This window comes from Homo sapiens, chromosome 14 (genome assembly GCF_000001405.40).
Source record: "Homo sapiens chromosome 14, GRCh38.p14 Primary Assembly".
Classification (NCBI taxonomy): domain Eukaryota; kingdom Metazoa; phylum Chordata; class Mammalia; order Primates; family Hominidae; genus Homo; species Homo sapiens.
In genome coordinates, this window is record NC_000014.9 from 88186196 (window position 1) to 88208225 (window position 22030).

Sequence of the window (22030 nt, forward strand, 5' to 3'; positions counted from 1 at the left end):
CCTCCCTGCCTTGGCCTCCCAGCACCCACAGCCCTCGGGTGTCCCCACGGGGAGGCCAGGAGGTGACGGAGCACATGCCCAGGGGGAGGTGCAAATGCTACCTTCTGCCCTAGTACTTCTGCCACCTGGACACCCATCCCTAATTGGCTAGTAAATAAGGTGGCTCAGGGAGACACACGTGGTGGGCAACCCCAAGAAGCCTCAGATTTGGAGATGGTGACTTAAAGAGAGGGGGACGGCATCCTGCAGGAGAGGTTAAAATGTGGAGTTGGACAGGCCTGGCTTCCAGCTCTCTCTTATCAATTGCATGGCCTCATTCCCCCAACATACACTTGAGTGACCATATATAGCTCACCTGAGACAAGGAAATGCACCTCACTCAGTCCTGGGCACAGCAGATGTTCAGCAGGCCTTCTGCCCTCCCTGCCTTTCTGGTTTTCTATCCTGGCAGGGTGACCAACTTGTTCCAGTTTGCCTGAGGCTGTCCCAGTTTTAAAACAGAGTCCTGTGTCCTAGGAACTCCCTCAGTCCTGGGAAAACTGGGATGGGTGGCCACCCTATCTGGGCCATGCTATGGTCATGTGCTGTGGGGCTTTCCCTGGTTTAAGAAGATGCTCCAGGGCACCTGGTAACCCACTTCCCCCAGTCAGGGTGCAGGAAGACGGCCTATTCTGCCAAAGCCCACAGAACAGGCCTCCTTAGAGTGGAGTTTTGCCTGAGGATCAGCACCAAATTTCTTGGCTCTTAATGAACAGGGCAGACAGTATAAGTCCCATGCTTCCCTCTGCAAATGAGGAACTCAAATTTGTGCATCCAGGAAAGTCAATATTCATGTTGTTCCCTTCTCTTTTGTTATAGCTGATTTTCAGCAGGTCAGTTAGCTGTCTGGGGAACCGGTCTGGAAATTGCATTGCTTACTTTCCTGGCTTACTTATATAAACCAGGAAAATTAGCATATGGGCCCAGGAAACTGATGTGGGAAATCTCTCCATTCAGCAACTTTCTCCTGGGGCCTTTTATACAGAATGAAGCAAACAGAGGCTGGCCCTCTATTTCTTTGGTTTTTCTTATCTCCCTTCCTTTCTTTTAGCTCTTTTTTTTCTCCTTCCTTGGCCTTCCTCCTTTCTTTTCCTCTCTTCCTAAGAGAGCTACATGAATATTTATTTTTTAATCACAAAATCTATCTTTCCTTCATATGTCTTCCTTTACTTCCCTTCATGTAAAGTTACATGCACGGCCCTTCCTCAGGGATGTATATTTGTCTCTATGGATGTGACAACCAAGAGGGGATAAGTGAAAGAGGCCCATTGGGCTCACTTCCCCGTAGCTGGTCAATGTTCGATGATTTCAGTTTCTTACTGAATCAGGAAAGATTCTTGGCGTTCAACTGCCTTTCTGCACAGACCCTGAGACCGGAAGGACAGGCTGCACCCCCCCACACACACACTCAGCCATAGTCTACCTCTCCTATTTATTTTCATTTTCATTTTTTTAAAATCAGCTGTTGTTTACTAGTTTTTCCAGGATTTATGGGCTGGTAAACGAATCACCATATTTTCTCACCTGCCAAAAAAAGAATCCAGAAATAACTGTATTCTATTCTCCTTAGCTTTGAAGGACTGATTCAACATGAGGAAGCCTATGACCCGCCCCCCGCTCCCCCTGCAAAACCGAGCCAGAAACACTCCAGCCCACAGGACAGAGACAGGCAATTCTGGACACAAGCTCATCTGTTCTCAGGAACATTCATAGGGTTAGGAAGGGGTCCTACCTCTTCTTTTGTCTTTTTGGACAGAACCCGTAGCCAATCTCCGATCATACTGAGGACAGCTGCAAAGTAGGCAAGGCCAACAAGGATCCAAAACCACACTAGGGGCTTATACCACTCCCGATAATTGATGCCAGCGTTTCCCCCTGAAAACAACCAAATGTTACTTTAACCATGATCTAGCATATGGTCTTTGCAGAGAACACATATTCCATTCCATGTAGTGAAGACGTCATCCATCATTGTTTAACACTCAGCTGTTAGGTTTGCTGTGTACAAGGTGGACCGGGGTTAGAGGGCAAGGGGGGTACCCATCCCTTACCCAAAAAAGCCTAACTTAAGGCTTTACTTCCCTCGATTCTTGACCACTAACCTTAATACCAGAAATAAAAAACGCCAGTGGCCAACTTGACCTACTAATGCTTGACCTGAGCGTTAAGGATGAATAACTCTGAACTACAGGACAACAGATCAGGCCTGGTTGTCATTGTTTTTTCTTAAACTTCTCTAAATTTATTTTAATAAAAATCAAATATAATCATATCACCCCCTATGGTTTGGAATTCTTGGAACCATTTCCATCTTAAGCACCCATACATTTACTAAGAGACAAGTGGATGTGTGAAAGTAAAATTAGCTTTAATGGCATTACTGGGATTTTGATGCAAGCAATAGTGATTTAATGCTAACTGAGGAATGGTGTTTACATAGTGCTACTCCAAAGGGTCAGTTAGGCTGAGTAATTAGAGTCACCATAAACTAGAACTAAAAGGGACCTTTGAGGCCAATCCCTTTATTTTATAAATAAGGATTACAGTAAAAATCCATCAAACCAAATTGGCCAGTTGCCTGATTGCATTGACTGGCTGTTCCATTGAAAGGACCAGTCATTTATTCTGAATAATTAGCCTATTTATTCTAACCTTCCTACAGACACTGCTGGAGGCAGCCATGCAAAACAGGTTGCAAGCCCAACCCACCGTCCTAAAGAAGTGAGGAAGCTCCTGGAAATAACGGACATCAGCCTCAATCTCTCTCTGGGAAACGCTATTGCCTAAGGAAGCAGGCAGTGGCCATTTCTAAGATGACAGATACTAGCAATGGATTGGTAACTATCGTATTAGGTGATGAGTGATTACAGACTTTCCCACCAGACCAAGGTTGTAACCACATCTAGCGCCACTGAGTCTTACGGCAAAGGCAGCTGGGCAAGAAATGTGACCTGTGGCTCCTCTCGACAAGCTCAAACCCAATCAGCAACACAGCGCAGCAGACCATGAGGCTCGACAGCTGCTGCCACTTCTTAACGTTAGAATTCCAACTTCTCTGTGCCAAGCCCCCTTCGGTTTGGTGCAGCTGCTTTTGGTTTTTCCTTTCAGACAACTCTCTCCTGCATCATTAGAGCTGTAGGATACGATCTGAGTTCCCGCACCAGTAAGTGGTTTTTGAGGTTCATTTCGTTTCTGTGCTACGCCAGAGAAATCTGTAGCTTTCTCCTGTGGGCTATCTGGGAGTAAATATTTACCTTTGCAAGTCACTATTACCCAGCAAAGATGGTCACTAGGGTGCGCTAGTGAACAAGGAACAATGAAGCAGGCAGTCAACACCCTTCTAAGTATCCCTTTATGAGCTGCTTATCTGGATTCGGAGTTCTGTGTGTGCTCCCAGACAGAGTTGCGAAATATTGTAAGGCTGTCCTAAAGTGAGTCAGCTGCAAAATAAATCAGCAATCAATCCTGCAGGATCAATGATCTGATTACATTTCTAGTAGAGTTCATACTATGTCGAATCACAGCAACCATCAACTCTTGTTAATGTATCGTTTTCCAATGATTGGGCAACCTTCCCTATCACTCGCAGACTGTTACCAAAAGATAGAGATAAACTTCCAGTCTTTTCAGGCATGCATTCTCCAGATTGGTCTGTGTAAGCTCGGAAAACTGGAGCTTGGAAGGGGTCTGGCCTAACTGCAGTCAGCACTGTGACTTTTAAGAGACCGTGGTCTACAGAAACCTCAGGACAAAGGAAATATGGCTCTGTAATCACTGACAAGGGCAGTAAAACTGTGGATGCCTGGGACTGTGTAGGTTGTGCCCTTACTAGGTAAGTAAAGATAAGGTAAAGTACTAGTTTGTACTAAGTGCTCAGTCCATGGTAGATAACAAATAATAAAAGCATCACTTAAAAAATCTCACTCCCAGGCCTCTGCTATTTGTGCCTCAGATTAACAGACTGAACTGAGCCATTGGTTAGAGATCTGTGTCTGTCACAGGTATCTTATAATAGACAGTCCTCAGGACAGCCCAGTGCTATCCCAGAGAGCTCTAAATCACCACCCACTGCAGGTTATGCTTTGGATACTTAAAGATGTTTGTGAAATAGTTCAAAATTCCAGCTGCCACTACATGTGTTTGCCTTAGATTGGAAACACCACTGAGTTTTCCCACGGACCGGCTACGGATGATGCCAAGGGATTAACTGGAATACATCTATAACTGTTCCTCTTACTTTTCTCAGTTTCTCTGTACAGTCTCTCTTCGGAGCTTGAGGCCACTAACTAGACATCCATGGTTGAGCACTGTGCGTAAGGGGAAAATGGGTAGAGTCCCAGGCTACAGGCTTTCTGTAAATGATTTTTAGTCACACTGACTAAAAATCAATTTTTAGTTAAAAGCTAAAAAAAACTAAATTTAGTCACTTTGCAATTCTTAGTCCTTAACCAATAAAAAGGAAGGGGAAAAAAAACCCTATTATTTCTACAAAGTGGAATTCAGTCTTTGTCTGCCCAATTGGAAGAGCTACAAAACCACTCTGCCAGTTATTTGTATTATAAAATTAACAGGGAGGCACGCATGCCCCTATTGATGAGCCTTCAGCAATCTCTTCCAGAATTTCCTGTTTGCCAGACTCCCAGAGACCAGAACCCATCCTCCTGATGTGCACAGTATTCCATGGAGAAATCAAGACACTGCTGGGATCACACGCCAAACAAGAACAGTCTGGCCAGGTGCAGTGGCTCACACCTGTAATCCCAGCACTTTGGCAGGCCGATCACATGAGCCCAACAGATCAAGACCAGCTTGGGCAACATGGCTAAATCCCATCTCTACGAAAAATACAAAAAATGAAAATAAAAAATAGCCAGGCATGGTGGCACACGTCTGTAGTCCCAGCTACTCAGGAGGCTGAGGTGGGATGATCACTTGAGCCCCAGAGGTCCGAGGCTGCAGTGAGCCATGATCACACCACTGCACTCCAGCCTGGGCAACAGAGGGAGACCCTGTTCAAAAAAAACAAAAACAAAAACAAAAACAAAAAAAAACAGTCTGCTTAGGGCTCAGGTCAGGCTGCCACTTCACCAGGAACTGGTAAAGGAAACACACACACACACACACACACACTCCATCCAGACATTTCAAACTTGTGACAGATGATAGAGTTGTTTGATCAAAGTGTTCACTTCTTGTAGTAGAAACTGATCACTTGTCTGAACATCTAGAACTATCCTATTAGAAAAAGAGAAGGATGGCCTCTTCCTTCTATCCGTACCTTTCTACCACACTTTTGGGAAACTGGTGCACATATGAAACTAAATCTCATTTCATTTGCAATTTCCCTGGCCCTAGATGAAATTGATGATTTTTTTTTCACTTCCTTAAACATAGCTCATCCACATTTATTTTTACAAGGAAGGCTATTGCTTGTATATACACTCCTGCATAATCCATGAGCTTATATTCCCTCTGGGCAGTTCTCAGCTCCCCATAGTCACCAAAGTCCTCAGCTTTGTATCTGGGCATGTGCAGGACAACGTTTGCAGAGACAATGGCTCTCACCTGGGAGTCAGGAAGCTGAACCTGCAGGTCACTGCAGACCAAATTCTATGCTAATCTCATCTGAGTTTCCTATGTGCCACTTCCTAACACAGCCTTTATCATTGGATTAGAGAGGTTTAATTCAATTCAGAAGTTCAAGATTTAATGAGAAATTCACTTTAGTCTTGCATAATTTGTGTGACGATAAGGGAAATAAGCATCCTGAGAAGGAAAGGGTTGGCTTTCTTTTCATAGCAGAAAAAAACCTATGGTATTTATATTACATAGGACTAGGGATTTGAAATGAGCCTCTTCACAGCAGTAGTGACACTGAGTCATCTTCATTTGCTTCTCCCGCAACATCTTTTATCGATTGCGAAAAGCACAGCCAACAGATTATTTTTCCCGCCAGAGCCCCAGTGCCTGGCCTGCCCAGGGTGCTTACCTGCCACAAAATCACCAAAGCCCACCGTGGTCAGAGTGACCACCACAAAGTAAATGGACTCCAAGGCCGTCCAGCCCTCGATGTACTTAAAGATGACAGCAGGGATCGTCACAAACACAATGCAGCCGGCCAAGATGAACAGGATGGTTGAGATGACCCGGATCTTGGTCTGACTCACTTGCTTTTTCTAGGAAGAGCAAAGGAGAAAGATAGGCAAGTCAGCGGCATCACCCTGGATTCAGGATATAGATGCACAGAAAACGGTACTGTGTCAGTGACTTTTAACCTTTCTCTGGTCATTGGCTGCTTGGAGGAAATTTGATGAACGCTGTGAACTCTTTCCTAGAAAAGTGCATTCAGAATTTTTCAAGTGGTCTAGGAGGTTCTCAGGCTCCCTGAAGCCTGTTCGTGGACACCAGGTCAAACAAACAAAAAAATCCTGCTTAGCCAATGCTTTGAATGTTTCTTGCATGGTTCCATGACTGCAGCCCAAATGCTGATTCTGACTTCTCACTGGTGCAAATATAATGGTTTCCCAAAAATGCTACCATTTGTCATGTAGTATTACTGATCCACCATTCGTGAGAATGAGTTTGGAGCTCTTTCCACAATGGTGGTGATGGATTTGCACCGTTTCCCTTGTGTCAAACAGAATATGCTGGAAAAAAAATTATCTGAGTCAGGCCAAAATGTTTGGATGAAACGGAAAACACAGTCATCCCCATCTTCACCTGTGACCGACTCTAGCCAAGTATTTGTGTGTTTCTTCGCCCCCACATTTTCCCTGCTGAGGCTGTACATTTATAACACACTTTTGTTTTAAAACACACCTGTCTGAGCTGGTGCTGTGATCATCATGTGTGTTGACTGTATCACTCACAAGAGACAGGATAGGAGTTAGCATAACAGGGTCCCCGTCTAAATGGGTAGTAGGACGACAATTAGATGGACTTAATGATCTGTGGTGAAATCTCCTTTGGGGCTTTGAAATTTTTATACATCTCTGCAAACAAATCTCATCTCATGCCAGCTCCTGAAGGAGTCAGTTGTTGGGTCATTAAGAAAAAAGCATCTAGAATGGGAATTAGACTGATACTGGGGCAAAGGAATCATACCAGTGGAGTCCAGGAGCAGGACTGGTAGCATCGGTCATATTCTCTTTGGATGTGCTGAAGGCGACACTGGAATTGACTCTAAGCTGAAAAACTCTAAGCTGAAAAATCCTCGCAATTCTCAGAATTGGTGCTGGAGACTGTCATCAGGAGGCCCTGGTATCATATACTAGCATAAATATATGAACGATGTGTTTAACACCAGAATGTATGGCCTTTCTACATTGCCTAGATGAATTTTCTGCAAACGTACACCACATTTGGGGCAATCAATATAGGAAATCCGTACCATGAGACCTGCATCCTCTTCATCGCACCAAGCACAGAGAGACCTTTGCTTTATATACTTCATTTTACACATGCAAAACTGAAGCCAAGAGGGGTTAAGGGACTTGCATAAAATGATGCCACTAATGAGCCGAGATTAGAATTCTGATGTAATTAATTCTCAGTCCAGTGCTTAACAACGGAAACAGCTTTTCAAGTAATTCAACAATTCACCAACCCAAAGAAAGTTGTCAAACAAAGTCGTCTGCATCTAACAGAAGAAATCAGACTAACTCCTGCTGAAAATGGGCAGTCCTCTGTCCCTTCTGTGAAGGAAGACTGAGAATAAAAAATGGTCACCGGGTGATCTGTCCAGGAAAAGCTAAAGAAATGCCATCCTTCCTTGTAAAAAGGAGGTACTTTTCTAACTCCTAAGAAGGCATCTGGTATATAAAATGGGAACAGGGAAAAATAATTTGATCTATGCTTTGATATAGAAACCCTCCTAATCTCCTCAGAGAAGCCATCTGAAAAAAAAATTACAATTTATTGATATTGTTGAAACTATATATGAAAATATCGACTTTTCCACACATGAAAGTGTCGTAACAAGATAAATTACCTGAAAACTGCAGGGAAAGTTTTGTCTATTTCATAAATTTCCATGTTGGATATTACAGGAGGATTTTGTGAAGGCAGGTAAGCCCCTCTGAGAATCCAGGAACTTACTTTAATTAGCCTAGTTTTGTTTGCAGAAATGTATGAAAAGTTCAAAGCCCAAAAGGAGATTTCGCCATAGATCATTAAGTCAATCTAATTGCTGGCAATGGGAGTACCATTCCTCCTCAAATATTCCTCCTCAAATGCATAGTGAAGTTAAAGTGAATTAAATGTTTGTGAGATGCTTGTTAAGTCATAAATTAAGATGTGAATGTAATTGCAATCTAAATGAGGTTGAGGTTGGCAAAAGAGGACTGCAAGTACGTAGGAAGCTGGAGACGTTCCTGGACTTCAGGAGATGGGCAGGAGGGAAGATGGGGAAGGACAGCGGTGGATTTGTTTGACGGCAGACAAGGAGGTGTATAACAAAGGCTAGATCGTGGCATCTTAATTGCATCATCTACTGGAGACTTTATCAGCAAGGTAAACATTTCACCACTACTCATTGCCCCGGCTAACAAGTGTGTTCCTGGGCTGCTTCTCCTAGACATCCAAGGGTCACACTCAGAGAATGTTTGGAGCATTTAATTATCAGGGTATTTTAGGGACTTAAGAAATGCGCGTCTTGCATGTGTATGTGTGTGTAGGTGTATGAAAATATGTGTATACCCATACTTTGCTATAAAAAGAAGTGCTGTGGGCGTAAGGTTTTAGCAATATCTGTTATTCTAGATACCCATGTTTTTGCTGCCCTCTAGGTATTTAAAAAAAAAAAAAGTTGCCTTAATTGAACATTTTAAACTGCAGCTTTCACAATGGAATCACAAACCATCTCATGTGCCGTGTGGTGATCTTCAGTTTTCTTATCCCCATTAGCCCTGTAACTGTTCACTGCTGCTGAAAAACCATAGTAGTGTTTAAGAGCACAGAGTCTAGGGAAAGACTGCCTGAGACACATCCCAACCCCACTGCTAAATAGCTGAGTGACCTTAGGCAAGTTTCTCAACCTCTCTGTGCATTAGTTTTTTTCCTCTATAAAATGGAGATAAGAAATCCCACCTCATCGGATTGTTTGGAAGATTAAACAAGTGTGCAAACACTTAGCACAGTGCCTGGTTAATATTCAATGCTTGTTAACAGGCCATTTTAATGTAAATGCTCAAATTTTTCCTTAGACGTAGACAGTCCCAGATTTAATGCTTCTCTTTGCCATTGAGGAATGTTCCCTCATATGTGGCTTAAGATAATCTCTGTTTAGCTTCAGGAGGTCGCTGCTGGTTGTCCTTTCCTGGATATATTGTATACCTCATTGTCAATGACAAAAAATGTCCTCATTCTCCTTTGGTTCCTCTTGCCAACTCTGGTTTGAGCTCTCAGACAGTCGCAGCTCACAATCTTGGAAGCTTTTTTATTTGCCTTCCAATTAATTCCATCCTACTTCCAAAACCCCAGGCTCAGCCACCTCCCCGTCCCATTTTTCATCATCCTTCCGAAACTGCCAAGAATTGCAGATAACGTTTGCGATGTCAGGAACCAGCTGCAGAGGGATTCTGAGAGGCACAAACCTCACTCTCCCTGCCTCCCTGCCACATCCCCCTGCCACTTACAGAATGGAGCTGTGTTTCCACGGTGGGGTTGCTAGGCAAAATTGCATGGCTTACTTACCAGTAAGCAGAGCCGCTAGCAGAAAGCTCTGTGAGAGCCCAGATCTAACTGAGCTAATGTGTCCTTAGGCTAACAAAACTGTTATCAGGGAAGAGATGGTCTGATATGATATTTGGGTAGAACTGATAGGATGGTCGTTGTACTTCTGTCTAAATCGTGTTTTCACACTTTGTTGATTGGTTAGACTAGAGCGCATGTTCTTCCCTTCTCTTTACACAAACAGTATTTTGCAAAACTATCTCCCGTATCTGATTGATACAAACTATAGGAATTTTTTAAGTACTCAAAACCCATCTCCTGTAGAGTTCATTTAGTTGTTAAAATTATATGTGCAATTGTTCCAAAGACCAAGTAAGCTTCGTAAACAGGAGGAGAGGGAGCCAGTTCTAAGAGCTCTCTTTTGAGAGAGGGATGTATGGACTGACAATTCGGGAAGTGTTTACTTGTTTCAGGCCTCAGAGGGCTAAGCCACATGTCCAATTCTCATTAAGCATAATTCTCTGTCTGTTTTTGTTTACTTCCACAATGTTATTTTGGAGAGCATGTATATTTCCATTCATTTGTGGGCTATTTTTTCATTTAATTTTTACCCCCTCTTTAATCCCCATTGTTTGCATCTTTATGTAATTTCTTAGAATTCTGAGATTAGCAATTCAGATTGTTTTGTCTGGCTGGGAAATTATTTATTCATTGTGATTTCTAGCCAGGATGTCGGGGATTTTACTCAAGAATAAAGACACTGCGGTAAAAATCCTAAGACAGAAGCTAAACATGCAGAGCTCAGTTTACGGCTTGGTTTGGTTTGTTGAAATGCAAACACATCACCATAGTAATACATCTGAACTGAGGATAATTTCTCAAAATGGAAAGATGATGGGAACTGCCTAGTAAGAGGACTGACTTCATTTTCTTATAACATGTTTTCTTCCAAGATTTATTTTAGAAGGTTCACTTATAACTAATAATTTCATCATCACAATGAATGGCCTTGTGGCACTAGCAATTCTATAAACTATGAGTAGAGCTTTTAAACACTCTCTGCCTAAAATCTCCATGGCAGAGATGCTGTAAGCACACATCAGTGAGAATAGTGAAGTGGAACCTTCAAGAAGCCTACTGAAAAAGTCCCACTCAAAAGCCGAATACACAAATGGATCATATATACACACACAGAAAAAAGTTTATATCCAGCTTCTGACTCTGAGTCATGTTGCAAGACACCTATGACAGACTGGCCAGTTCAGTACTTTGCTGGTTTCACTATGCAAAGTTCTTGAAAAAGATGTTGGTATATATGGGTAAATTGTTTTTATCACTAGACTACCAATATAGGTGCATCTGGGATGGAAAAAAATAAAATTCACAAATAATAAAAACTCAGGCCAGGCATGCTGGCTCACACCTGTAATCCCAGCTCTTCAGGAGGCTGAGGTCAGGAGTTCAAGACCTGCCTGGCCAACATGGGGAAACCCCAACTCTACTAAAAAATACAAAAATTAGCTGGGCATGGTGGCAGATGTCTGTAATCCCAGCTACTTAGGAGACTGAGGCAGGGAGAATCACTTGAACCCGGGAGGCAGAGGTTGCAGCGAGCCAAGATTGCACCACTGCACTCCAGCCTGGGCAACAGAGAGAGACTCCGACTAAAAAAAAAAAAAAAAAAAAAAAAAAAAAAAAAAAAAAAATCAACTGTTCCACTGCAGGAAGACTTTAATTAAAATTTTCAAAAGTTTTCTATTCTAAAAAACTGGTTGCTGTTAACATTTGAAGATAATACGCTATTGGAACACAAGATTTGGCATTTAATTCATTCTGCACATAATTATTTAAAACCTTAAATGTCAGGGACCATTCTAGTTGCAAGGGACATGGCAGTTCGAGGGAAGGAGGGAGGGAAGGAAGGAAGAAACAGAAGGAAGGAAGGAGGGAAGGGAGAGAGAGAGAGAGAGAGAGAGAGAGAGAGAGAGAAGGGGAAAAAAGAAAAGAAAAAGTTCCTTCCTCTTGCACACAAAGTCCAGCAGGAAGATCTGAGCCTTTGTCTGAAAAGGTCTTTGTGGCACTGTCCATGGTGCCCCACCCTGGTAGATATTGAAGGCAAAGCTTAGTACCTAATGACACCTAGGTGACCAAATATATCACCTGGGAGAGAAGAAAGGAAATAATAACATTCTTGTAGCTCTGGCATGTGGAATATAAAAGCATGCCAACTGTAATGGACGACCTTTAAATCTTTGTCAGTCAGGCATTCAGAAGGTAGGTCTCAGAGGCAGGAAAACTCATAAGCGATCACACCACATGTAGAAAACATCCAGACAAATCCTTAACTGAAGAAGGGTCCTTCTCTTTGGTTGAAGCATGAAAGAAAGCCCATGGAAAGGTAAGGAGAATGGGACACCTGCTGATGAGCCACATCAACTGAGTAACTCCTGACAATCCCAAAAGATGCCCCTCCCAGCTGCTCACCTATCCAAATTCTAAATTTATCCTACTCAAATTTCAGCAGCATGATGAACAATGCCTCCATCTCAAATGGCCTCTCCACCATCATAAACAGAAGCATACAATAATACTACAGTAACAATGCTACAGACAGCTAAAAGGTAGACTCACTCTTCTTCCACTGGCTAACAAGGTGTAAGGGCACAGTTCCCTGGCTAAGCAGTGCACAGGAGTGAAGGCACAAGACCATTCTAATAGGATAAATGCTCATTTTCCGCCCCAGTGCTTTCCTTGTATAGGGAGCTCCACCTGCTGCAATACACATGGCCACTCAACTCTTATTCTGACCCAGGAACTGTTAACCCAGCCCCTTCCTCTCCCCTTCCTTTTGGGAGTTACCCCTTGTGATCTCCTATCTAATTCTGAGGTTGTATTAGGAAACTCATCTTTCCACAGATATAAACCATATTCTTCAGTATAAAGGGAATATAGTAATGTTAGGCTTTAATTTATCATCTCCTTTGTCTTATTTTATTTTATTTTATTTTATTTTATTTTATTTTATTTTTTTGAGGCAGAGTCTCACTTTGTCGCCCAGGCTGGAGTGCAGTGGCGCAAACTCAGCTCACTGCAACTTCCGCCTCCCAGGTTCAAGCGATTCTCCTGCCTCAGCCTCCCGAGTAGCTGAGATTACAGGAGCGCACCGCCACGCCCAGCTAATGATTGTATTTTTAGTAGAGATGGGGTTTCGCCATGTTGGCCATGCTGGTCTTGAACTCCTGACCTCAAGTGATCCACCCGCCTCGGTCTGCCAAAGTGCTGGGATTACAGGCGTGAGCCACCGTGCCCGGCCCATGATTTTTTTATTCTAGCAGAAAGCTCAGTGATTATTCCATTATGAAGGGGGAAAGAGGTGAAATCCTCTGGTGTTCAGCAAGCTCTCCTCAAGGGAAGGTGAGTTCCCTTCTTTAGCTTGTGAATGTTCACCCGGAAGGAAGACATGTTGTAAAAGCAGAAAAGTAGGGTGAGATTACAGTGGGTTTCTTGCTAAGGGTGCTCTGCTAAAAGAAGAGTGGATTGGGACAGCCATTAAGGAACCCTGAGCCCTGGCTAGAGCTGTCTGGGAAGGACAAGAACCTGGAAAAGCAGCCAGGGCAAGGGGAGAGCAGTGTTAGGGTTCTCATGTAGCCATAAAACAGACTAGGTCAGTAAAACACCCCTTGCCTCGCTGGCTCCTCTAGGAACACTTTACTCTTTCTTGTCCTTCCCACCCATCTCTTAGCTATGCAGCTGTTCCCTGGAACCAGTATCCAAGAGTACCCAGAACACGTAAAAGAGAAGAAAGTTGTCATATGATCCCTATCCCCACTCCCATGAGTAGCCCAGAGGCTACTAGACAGAAGAACTATCTATAGGCCCAGGAATAAAGGTAAATGACAAACAGGTATGCATTTTCTGTGACCTTATTTATCTTGCCTGTTAGAAGATTTGAAGACAGCCTTCAAGGTCAGATAGATTTAGGTCAACACCTATACAAATACCTGGGTATTGCTGGATAAGCAGTAAACAACGCCCTTCCCAATAGACAGTTTCTTTCTTTCTTTCTCTTTCTTTCTTTCTTTTTCTTTCTTTCTCTTCTTTCCTTCTTTCTCTTCTTTCCTTCTTTCTTTCTCTCTTTCTTTCTTCTTCTTTTCTTTCTTTCTTCTTCCTTTCTTTCTTCCTTTCTTCCTTTTTTTCTCTTTCTTTCCATATTTATCTCTCTTTCTTTCTTTCCTTCCTTTCTTCTTTCCTTCCTTCCTTCCTTCTTTTTTTAGACAAATACTTTTAATGTAAGCATCTAGGGATGCTTGTCCACATAAAACTATAAATAATAATAAAATAAGCATTAAGAAATCTTACAGAGAAAGGTGTGTGAACTAGAAGAGAAAAAGGCAACAAGAAGCAAACAAAATTAGAAAATCTTTCAGAAGGATAATTTAAGAGCATAATTGAGAAAAAAATTGGGGTACAGAAAGAAGAGATAGAACAATAGTTTGAGGGATCTAGAATTTTTCTGGAGGCATACAAGAAGGCTTCCCAGCTACGTGTGTACCTAATTGTTTCAGAGATAAAAAGAAAATGGAGAGAAGGGAGAAAGGGATATGCATGAACTTTCTAGTTAGACTAGGAACGAGAAGTTAGATAAGAAGGAAATACAGCTTTATAGAAAGTCATGCAGAAATAAACCCTACACTGGGAAGGCCTGCACTAAGGGAACTGGACAGGAACACCTACAAATGAGAAAATTCCTTTAGCATATTTTTCAAGCTATGAATATAGCTGAACTCTATAACTTTTCTATTCCTTTTTTCAATGAGTATTTATCATGTACCTACTCTCTGTCAGATATTGAGCTAACTTCACCGGTGAGTAAAACAAAATGGCCCCCAGTCTCACAGAGCTAGTAGGAGTTGAGACAAGCATTAAACAGTCATGCAAGGAAATAATTAATCACAGCTTGTGATAAATCAGACGTGTTGTGAAGGGGAAAGAATCCACAGAGTGAGAGAGTGTAAAAGGGACCTCATGACACTGTGGAACTGTTTGCCTACCACAGTCTCCATATTTACTGCTCATACCTCAAGATTCCCTCTTCGTAGTAAAGGGAGTTGTTGCAAATGATCCAAAACAGGGGATTAGTGATGGAGAGAAACAACCCTGCAAGGAGGCTAGGGAGGTGCCAATGAACTTGGACTTCACATACATTGGCTGTTTTCTACTCCTGACAAAGTTTCCATTGGAGGCCTCATGGCAGAATCAGGGCAAGTACCTTGACATCCTAGGGGACGTGATCTCATCTAAGTTTTATACAAATGCCTCCAGGAAATGCCAGCTCCAATTGTGTGTTGTGGACAAATAAATGCATACATGATTCATTTCCTTATTCATCTATCACTTATTTATGATTATTAAAGAGGAGCACTGTTCCTTCATTTGATTAGAATGGATTTGCTTAGAAGGACTACACTGGGCCAGGCACAGTGGCTCACGCCTGTAATCCCAGCACTTTGGGAGGCCGAGAGGTAGGTGGATCACTTGAGGTCAGGAGTTCGAGACCAGCCTGGCCAATATGGTGAAACCCTGTCTCTACTAAAAACACAAAAATCAGCCAGGTGTGGTGGCAGGTACCTGTAATCCCAGCTACTTGGGAGGCTGAGGCAGGGGAATCGCTTGAACCCGGGAGGCAGAGCTTGCAGTGAGCCGAGATCATGTAACTGCACTCCATCCTGGGCAACAGAGTGAGACTACGTCTCAAAAAAGAAAAAAAAAAATAGAAGGCTACACTGAAGCCTATTTTGATTGCTGAACATGCATAATAAATGTCCTGGCTTTTAATTGGTACATTTTTTCCTCTTAAAACAATTAAGTTATATGCAAACTCTTTCATGGAGCTAAATGTAATGAATAAAGTAGACTATTACCTTTCATGAAGAGACTGGGCTGTTTAGCTATGCAAATGAAAGCAGATGTAGGCATCCCAAGGCTGTGACTCCAGGGACACATGCTCCATAAGATAAAGTAGTCAACAGTGCCCTACCCTTTGGTAGGGTTGCATCTCTGTAGATACTATTTCCTTTACAAGAGTATTCTCTTTAAAATGCAGTTCTAGATTCCATTGCTCCTGCAAAGTGTTTAGTAGAGATATGCATGAACAGTTTGAACAGTTCTTCTCAGAGGACCAGAAACTGAGAATCTAAAAGCAACAAAAGAAGATCTCCAGGCCTCCTGATGTTCACCCCATGTTAGGAGAAAGATTAGAAAATGGAATTGGATCAACCCTGGTGACGCTCAGCCTGTGGTGTATGGTAAATGATTATCAATGATACTGCCATAGGTCGCCCAAGCCACTCCACTATCATGCTGTGACCAAACAGAGCTAATGTGATCACAGGGCATGTCCACGTCAGAGGATCCTTGTCATTCTTTTTGCCCACCAATAATTTGAACATCCTTCTTTAGTTTGGTGAAAGACAGAGACCTCCTCCCAGTACAGAAGCTGCAATGTACCACCTACTGACTTTCCCAGCCTCTCCTGCTATGAGGAGACAAGCATGTGACCCAGGCTTTCCCAGCCATAAAGACATAATTCAGACTTTGAACCACACCCATGCAGATGTAACAGGGTTAAACCTTGAAGTAGTCATCTAAGAGTCCTCTGTCCTCCGTCCTCCTCTTTCGTCTCACTGGCACCCGCCACTCCCCAGACCATTCTGAAAAGAGGTGTGGAGATTCTCAGAGGCAGACTTACAGAACCACTTTCTCCTCTTCCAGACAGTAGGCAAGACCGGGTTAGGAACACAGACAGAGAGAAGGCGGAATGGCCACTCAGCCTGGAGCAAAAGTACAGTGGGAGGGACGAGATCTTCCTAGAGTCTTCCGGTTGCGGGGGGTGGGTGGTGGGAAGCAAAACGTCCAGTCTGGAGGCCAAGAGGAAGAGACTAGATGCAGAGCTTTCTGCTGGTGATTCACCACCTGTGCACAGCCCAGCTCTCAAGAGTCCTGGATCCTCCTAGGTCCTCCGACAGAGGGTGAGGGACTGGAACCCTGAGTGGGGTGGGCATGGAAGGTAAACCTTGCCCTTGATCAAGATGGAAGTGAAAGCATCAGCGGGGAGCTTCCATGGGAGGTGGGGTGGCAGGCAGGAGCAGACATATCTTGGATGTTATATAAAGAAACAGGGACCCTGTGGAAGCCATTCCAGGGATGGTGGTACCAATGTTGGTATGCCCCACTCCAGGAGCAGTCACAAGGATGGTTCTTGCAGCAGCATCCAGGGGCCACCGCCCTGTATATGCCCGGGCAGACACAGCAGTGGCTTCCTCCGGGACCAGTTCCATGGTGTGATTTGGTCATTGTTTTTAACAAGGTACCTTCCCAGTTTGGGTTTCCAACCATCCCAAGGATTTGGTAGCTATCCAATATCCTTTTTAAAATTATTTTCATTTTTGTTTAAATTAGCCATAGTTTCTCTCATTTTGAGCTAAGCTGCCTGCCTGCAACAGCTACTCCTGGAGGTCAGGGCAAGCTGGCTTCAGCTGCCTCGAGGCAGGTCAAGGACACAGCTCAATTGGACACCCTGGAACAGGCCTGGAATTCTGGGCTCCAAGAACAGCCAGACTGTAAGCAGATGTGATGTAACTGCTGTGGGTAATATCTCTCTGACATTCCTAAATCTTAAAAGTCTTGTTACAATGTACAGCTGGTGTCAGCTGCAGTTTGGAAGGTGTTGTATCTATTCCTGAGAATCTAGTGTTACCGGGGAGAGTGGTGTCCGTCTCCCTCAGCTCTAGGACAGCAGGACAGTAGCACTCCCCCTTCTGAGGCAGAAGGATCTGTCACCTGCAGAAGGTGGGTAGCAAAATTGTCATGAACGATCAGTGGTTAGAGCAGAGGTCAGCAATCCAGAAGGAGCTGATGGAGTAACACAGGGAAGGCACAGGCTGTGGCCAGGACACGGTGACAACCCCTGCCAGTACCCGAGGGCAGGGAAACTTGGACAGGGTAGGTAGCAGGTGGGAGGGGTACTGTGGGGCCAGTGGAGCACCAGGCATTGGGGCCAAATGTAGATGCAGAGAAAAGATTCAGAAGTACGATTATCAACGTGTTAGTGGTGGATTTCTTTGGACAAAGGATATTTACAGGATTTTACTTTCTTCTTTGCACTCCCCTGCATTTTCCAAGGCCTCTACAGTGACCATGTATACTCTTTGTAGTCTTTGTGATGAAAGAAAAAGGAAAAGGGGGAGAGGTAGGAGAGAGCGAGAGGGAGAGGGCTAAGAAGAGAAGGGAAGGAGAAAACGAGCAACATGCTCAAGAACATGGCAGAGGTTCCCTCGAGAAATAACAGCACTGTGCCCTTGAAAATCATTCACTTGGTCCTTCTTCCTTTTGGAAAAGGAGTGACAACCCTTCCTTGGAGGGAAAACTAAAAGAGAAAAGGAGGAAGAGATAATCCCCATGGTAACATAAGAGGGATGGGCCTTGTCTGAGCCTTCAGGATCCCAGGAATGTTTGCCAAAGGTGGCAGTGGGAGAGCTGTAAGGACCTGGCCATGATCCAGTTCAAGAAATGCATCCTGCCTGCTGCCTCATGCTGCCTCCTCCTCCTCCTCCTCCAGAATACGTCAACCCACTTCTGAGGAAACTGTCAGGGACCCCACCCCCCGCCATTTCCCCCAACTCCCCCCTACCCCCGCTGCAGGCAGGTAGTTGCTGACCCCTCTCTCTTGCTGTAGTAGCAGTTAGTTTGCAGTTCTGGAGAGACTGGATGGTTTATTGGTGCCCCAATACTGCTCCATTTTATACTTCAGTGCCTTTTTCAAGATTTGATTTTTTTAGAACCATTTTTGCTTCACAGCAAAATTAAGAGAAAGGTACAGAGATCTCCCATATAGCCCCCGCCCCAAACATGCACAGCCTTCCCCACTATCAACATCCCATGCCAGAGTAGTGCACTGGTTACAAGTGATGAGCCTATACTGACAATATCATCCAGAATCCATAGTATACATTAGGGTTCACTGTTGGTGCTGTACATCCTATGGGTTTGGACAAACGTCTGATGACATGTATCCACCATTATAGTATCATACACAATAGTTTCCCTAGCCTAAAAATCCTCTCTGCTCCACCGATTCATCCCTCTCTTCCCCCAGGCTCTTGGCAATCATGGATCTTTGTAACTGTCTCCATAGTTTAGACTTTTCTAGAATGTCATGTAGTTGGAATCATACTGCATGTAGCCTTTTCAGATTGGCTTCTTCCACGCAGCAATATGCATTTAGCATTCCTCTACATCTTCTCATGGCTTCATAGCTCATTTCTTTTTAGCTTCTGTGCCCTTTTAAGGGCTGTTCCATCTGCTAGGATAAGGTTCTTCGCCCTTTTTAATGCTTGTCAGACTCCTGTTCATTCCTCACACACAATTCTGACATTACCTCTTGCAGGAAGCCCTCTCCAGTTCTTGCTCTCTGCTGTCCATGTTCCTTCACCCTTGCATGGTCCCCTGTCCATAGAACTGCTCAACCTGCATCACTGTCTGTCCATCCATCCATGTGTCTCCCTACTACACAGTGTGCTCCTTCATCTCAATGTTCTAAGTGCCTGGCACAGTGCATTTTTCTTTTCTTTTCTTTTCTTTTTTTTTTTTTTTTTTTTGAGATGGAGTCTTACTCTGTCACCCAGGCTGGAGTGCAATGGCGTGACCTCGGCTCACTGCAACCTCTGCCTCCCGGGTTCAAGTGATTCTCCTGCCTCAGCCTCCCGAGTAGCTGGGACTACAGGCATGCACCACCATGCCCAGCTAATTTTTGTATTTTTAGTAAGATGGAGTTTCACTATGTTGGCCAGGATGGTCTCAATCTCTTGACCTCATGATCCGCCCACATTGGCCTCACAAAGTACTGGGATTATAGGCATAAGCCACCATGCCTGGCCCGTAGTGCATTTTTCTACAGCTGCCTCCTCTATTTTAGCACCTCAAGAAAATATGAGAGTACTGTTTAAAGCAAATATTCTATAAAAACAATAAAACCATTCATCTAGCAAGAGATAAACTGACAGGATTTTATAATTTGGAATTCTAGTAAAGGTACATAACATAGAAAGGTATAGTCAGATGGATGTACACACACATATGCATATAATAAATATTTGTGGAATAGAACTGAATATTAATGGCATGGGAAATACATCAAGGGAAGAGGCTTAACTATTGGAACATGGCCATTTTCACGAGAATAGAAATTAAATATGTAAATTCTTGAAAGTTACATGGGAGCCCCCTGGAAGCTCTGTTTATAACCCTGTTTAGATTACAACACCCTAGGAGGTGGTCTCTAAACTTGTTAGGGTGTTTGCGGTTGTCACAACTGGAGGGGCACGTTTGGCATGTACTGGGAGGAGGTCAAAGACGTTCAGATGTCCTGCAATACAACAATCAGTGCCACAAATCACAGAACCATCCCACATTTAGCATGAGCTTTGAATGTCCCACTGAGAAAAACTCATGTCTACAATTATCTGAGCCAAGAACCTAACTCCCTTTTACATGTGAAGACACACACACAAATTGTTTGCATCTTTTCAAAGTTGACCAAATTTTTTAAGAATCTGACTCTAATGTAAATAGATTAGCTGGAACCTTGCTGAGAGTTGTTCTCTATTTTGGAAAACCACACCACTGGAGAAAAAGTCCTTTGTGACATCTTAGTCATCAACACAACATACCTGAACCAATCTGCATTTGGAGATATTGCATTCTACGTATAGATGCCAAGACTCACTGCTTCAGCAGGTCTCCTAGGGTTTCATAACAGAGCACCTATTATTGAAACATTACTTTCCATTTATTTCTCCTTTATATTATAGCTAGAAAATTTGCATTGAATTTTTCAGAATTATCTGTATTGGCAAAGTGCACTGTCTCTGAAATTCATTTCAATGTAGTAAAGGAGTATTCATAAATATATGCTATAAAAGAATATTGGATATTACAGGGTTCAGAACCACTGGGTGAAGGTAAATTGTATACTGTATTTAAGAAGATTGACTTGATAAGTCTGTAGAATTACACTTCTAAGTATAGCCTGATGAGGTAAAAGTGTCTGCATATGAATACCATTGGCAATAAGCATTAGCAGGGAGCAGCTCCCTACAGACCCATCTTTTATTCAAAATAATTGTACTTCAAAGCCTAAGAACTTTTTTTCCCCATTGCCATTTATTTGCATACAATACTAGTTTCGATTTCAAGGTCACTCTCTTTTTTTTTTTTTTTTTTTTTTGAGACAGATTCTCACTTTGTCGCCCAGGCCGGAGTGCAGTGGTGCAATTTCGGCTCACTGCAAGCTCCGCCTCCCAGGTTCACGCCATTCTCCTGCCTCAGCCTCCCGAGCAGCTGGGACTACAGGGGCCCGCCATCGCGCCCGGCTAATTTTCTTGTATTTTTTAGAGGAGACGGGGTTTCACCATGTTAGCCAGGATGGTCTCGATCTCCTGACCTCATGATCCGCCCGCCTCAGCCTCCCAAAGTGCTGGGATTACAGGCGCGAGCCACAGCGCCAGCCCAAGGTCACTCTGTTTATCTTTTTTTAGAGGGGGATTGTGCAGGATTAGGAGAGTAGGAGGGATAGGGGATGTCTCACTATGCTGCCCAAGCTGGCCTGATCCTCCAGCCTCAGCCTCTCAAGTAACTGGGACCTAGTCCAGCTTCAAGGTCATTTTCTATATCAAGATGTATAAGGTTATGTCTAGCAATGTTCATTCATTGATTCATCAAGTATGGATTAAGTGCTCTCTGGGTTCCAGGCCATGTGCTAGCACCTGAAGATGCAGTGGTGAACAGGCAGATGGGACCCGACCTCACACAACTCATAGGCTGATGGGGATGCCCACCATCAATACAGTGAGATGAATGTTATTCTTGGGGTCTACAAGATGTTATTTGGGGGGGGTGTTGACCTCATTTAGAAGTCAGGAAAAGCTCCCCAAGGAACTGACATTTGAGCTGAGACCAGGAGGAGGGTACAGACATTGTTTGAAACACCATAAATATCACACGCAAAAGTCTGGAGATGAAAGAATGTGGCACATTCAGTGCAAACGCAGAGATCCACTGACATTCCCGTGGTGAAGCAGAGATTTCTCCCCAAACACGATCACCAAGGCTCTTACTTTAGGAAATATTAACTATGACAAACTTTTAACATTTTGACCCATATAATCTTTTCAGAAAATTTGGTTGGTGGGTTCCTTTTTTATTTCCCTAAAAATAGAAAATAATTTGAATTCAAGACATTTCTAGAAACATCATTAAAGGC

General features: G+C 43.4%; 1 protein-coding gene across 3 annotated transcripts in view, besides 4 other annotated features; it reads right to left on the reverse strand.

Moving 5' to 3' along the window:
• Positions 1 to 22030, reverse strand: part of KCNK10 (potassium two pore domain channel subfamily K member 10) — a 146805-nt gene that overhangs the window by 6088 nt on the left and 118687 nt on the right. For all 3 annotated transcript variants that reach the window (NM_021161.5, NM_138317.3, NM_138318.3), the window contains exons 5-6: positions 6029 to 6215; positions 1772 to 1914 (exon numbers count right to left, since the gene is read on the reverse strand). In NM_021161.5, the coding sequence (NP_066984.1) occupies positions 1772 to 1914; positions 6029 to 6215 (330 nt within the window). The remainder of the gene's footprint in view (positions 1 to 1771; positions 1915 to 6028; positions 6216 to 22030) is intronic.
• Positions 3081 to 3220: an enhancer, noted in NCBI's record as "active region_8836". NCBI's record gives its function as "activates an Ori minimal core promoter by ATAC-STARR-seq in GM12878 lymphoblastoid cells {active_cell/tissue: GM12878}" and the evidence as "EXISTENCE:reporter gene assay evidence [ECO:0000049][PMID:35858748]".
• Positions 3321 to 3400: a silencer, noted in NCBI's record as "silent region_5989". NCBI's record gives its function as "represses an Ori minimal core promoter by ATAC-STARR-seq in GM12878 lymphoblastoid cells {active_cell/tissue: GM12878}" and the evidence as "EXISTENCE:reporter gene assay evidence [ECO:0000049][PMID:35858748]".
• Positions 4121 to 4290: an enhancer, noted in NCBI's record as "experimental_38654 CRE fragment used in MPRA reporter constructs". NCBI's record gives its function as "activates a minimal promoter by MPRAs in K562 erythroleukemia cells, with activity observed for the non-introgressed 14:88656745 variant allele {active_cell/tissue: K562}" and the evidence as "EXISTENCE:reporter gene assay evidence [ECO:0000049][PMID:34662402]".
• Positions 9550 to 9844: a silencer, noted in NCBI's record as "tiled region #1231; HepG2 Repressive non-DNase unmatched - State 21:Repr". NCBI's record gives its function as "represses a minimal TATA promoter and a strong SV40 promoter by Sharpr-MPRA in HepG2 cells {active_cell/tissue: HepG2}" and the evidence as "EXISTENCE:reporter gene assay evidence [ECO:0000049][PMID:27701403]".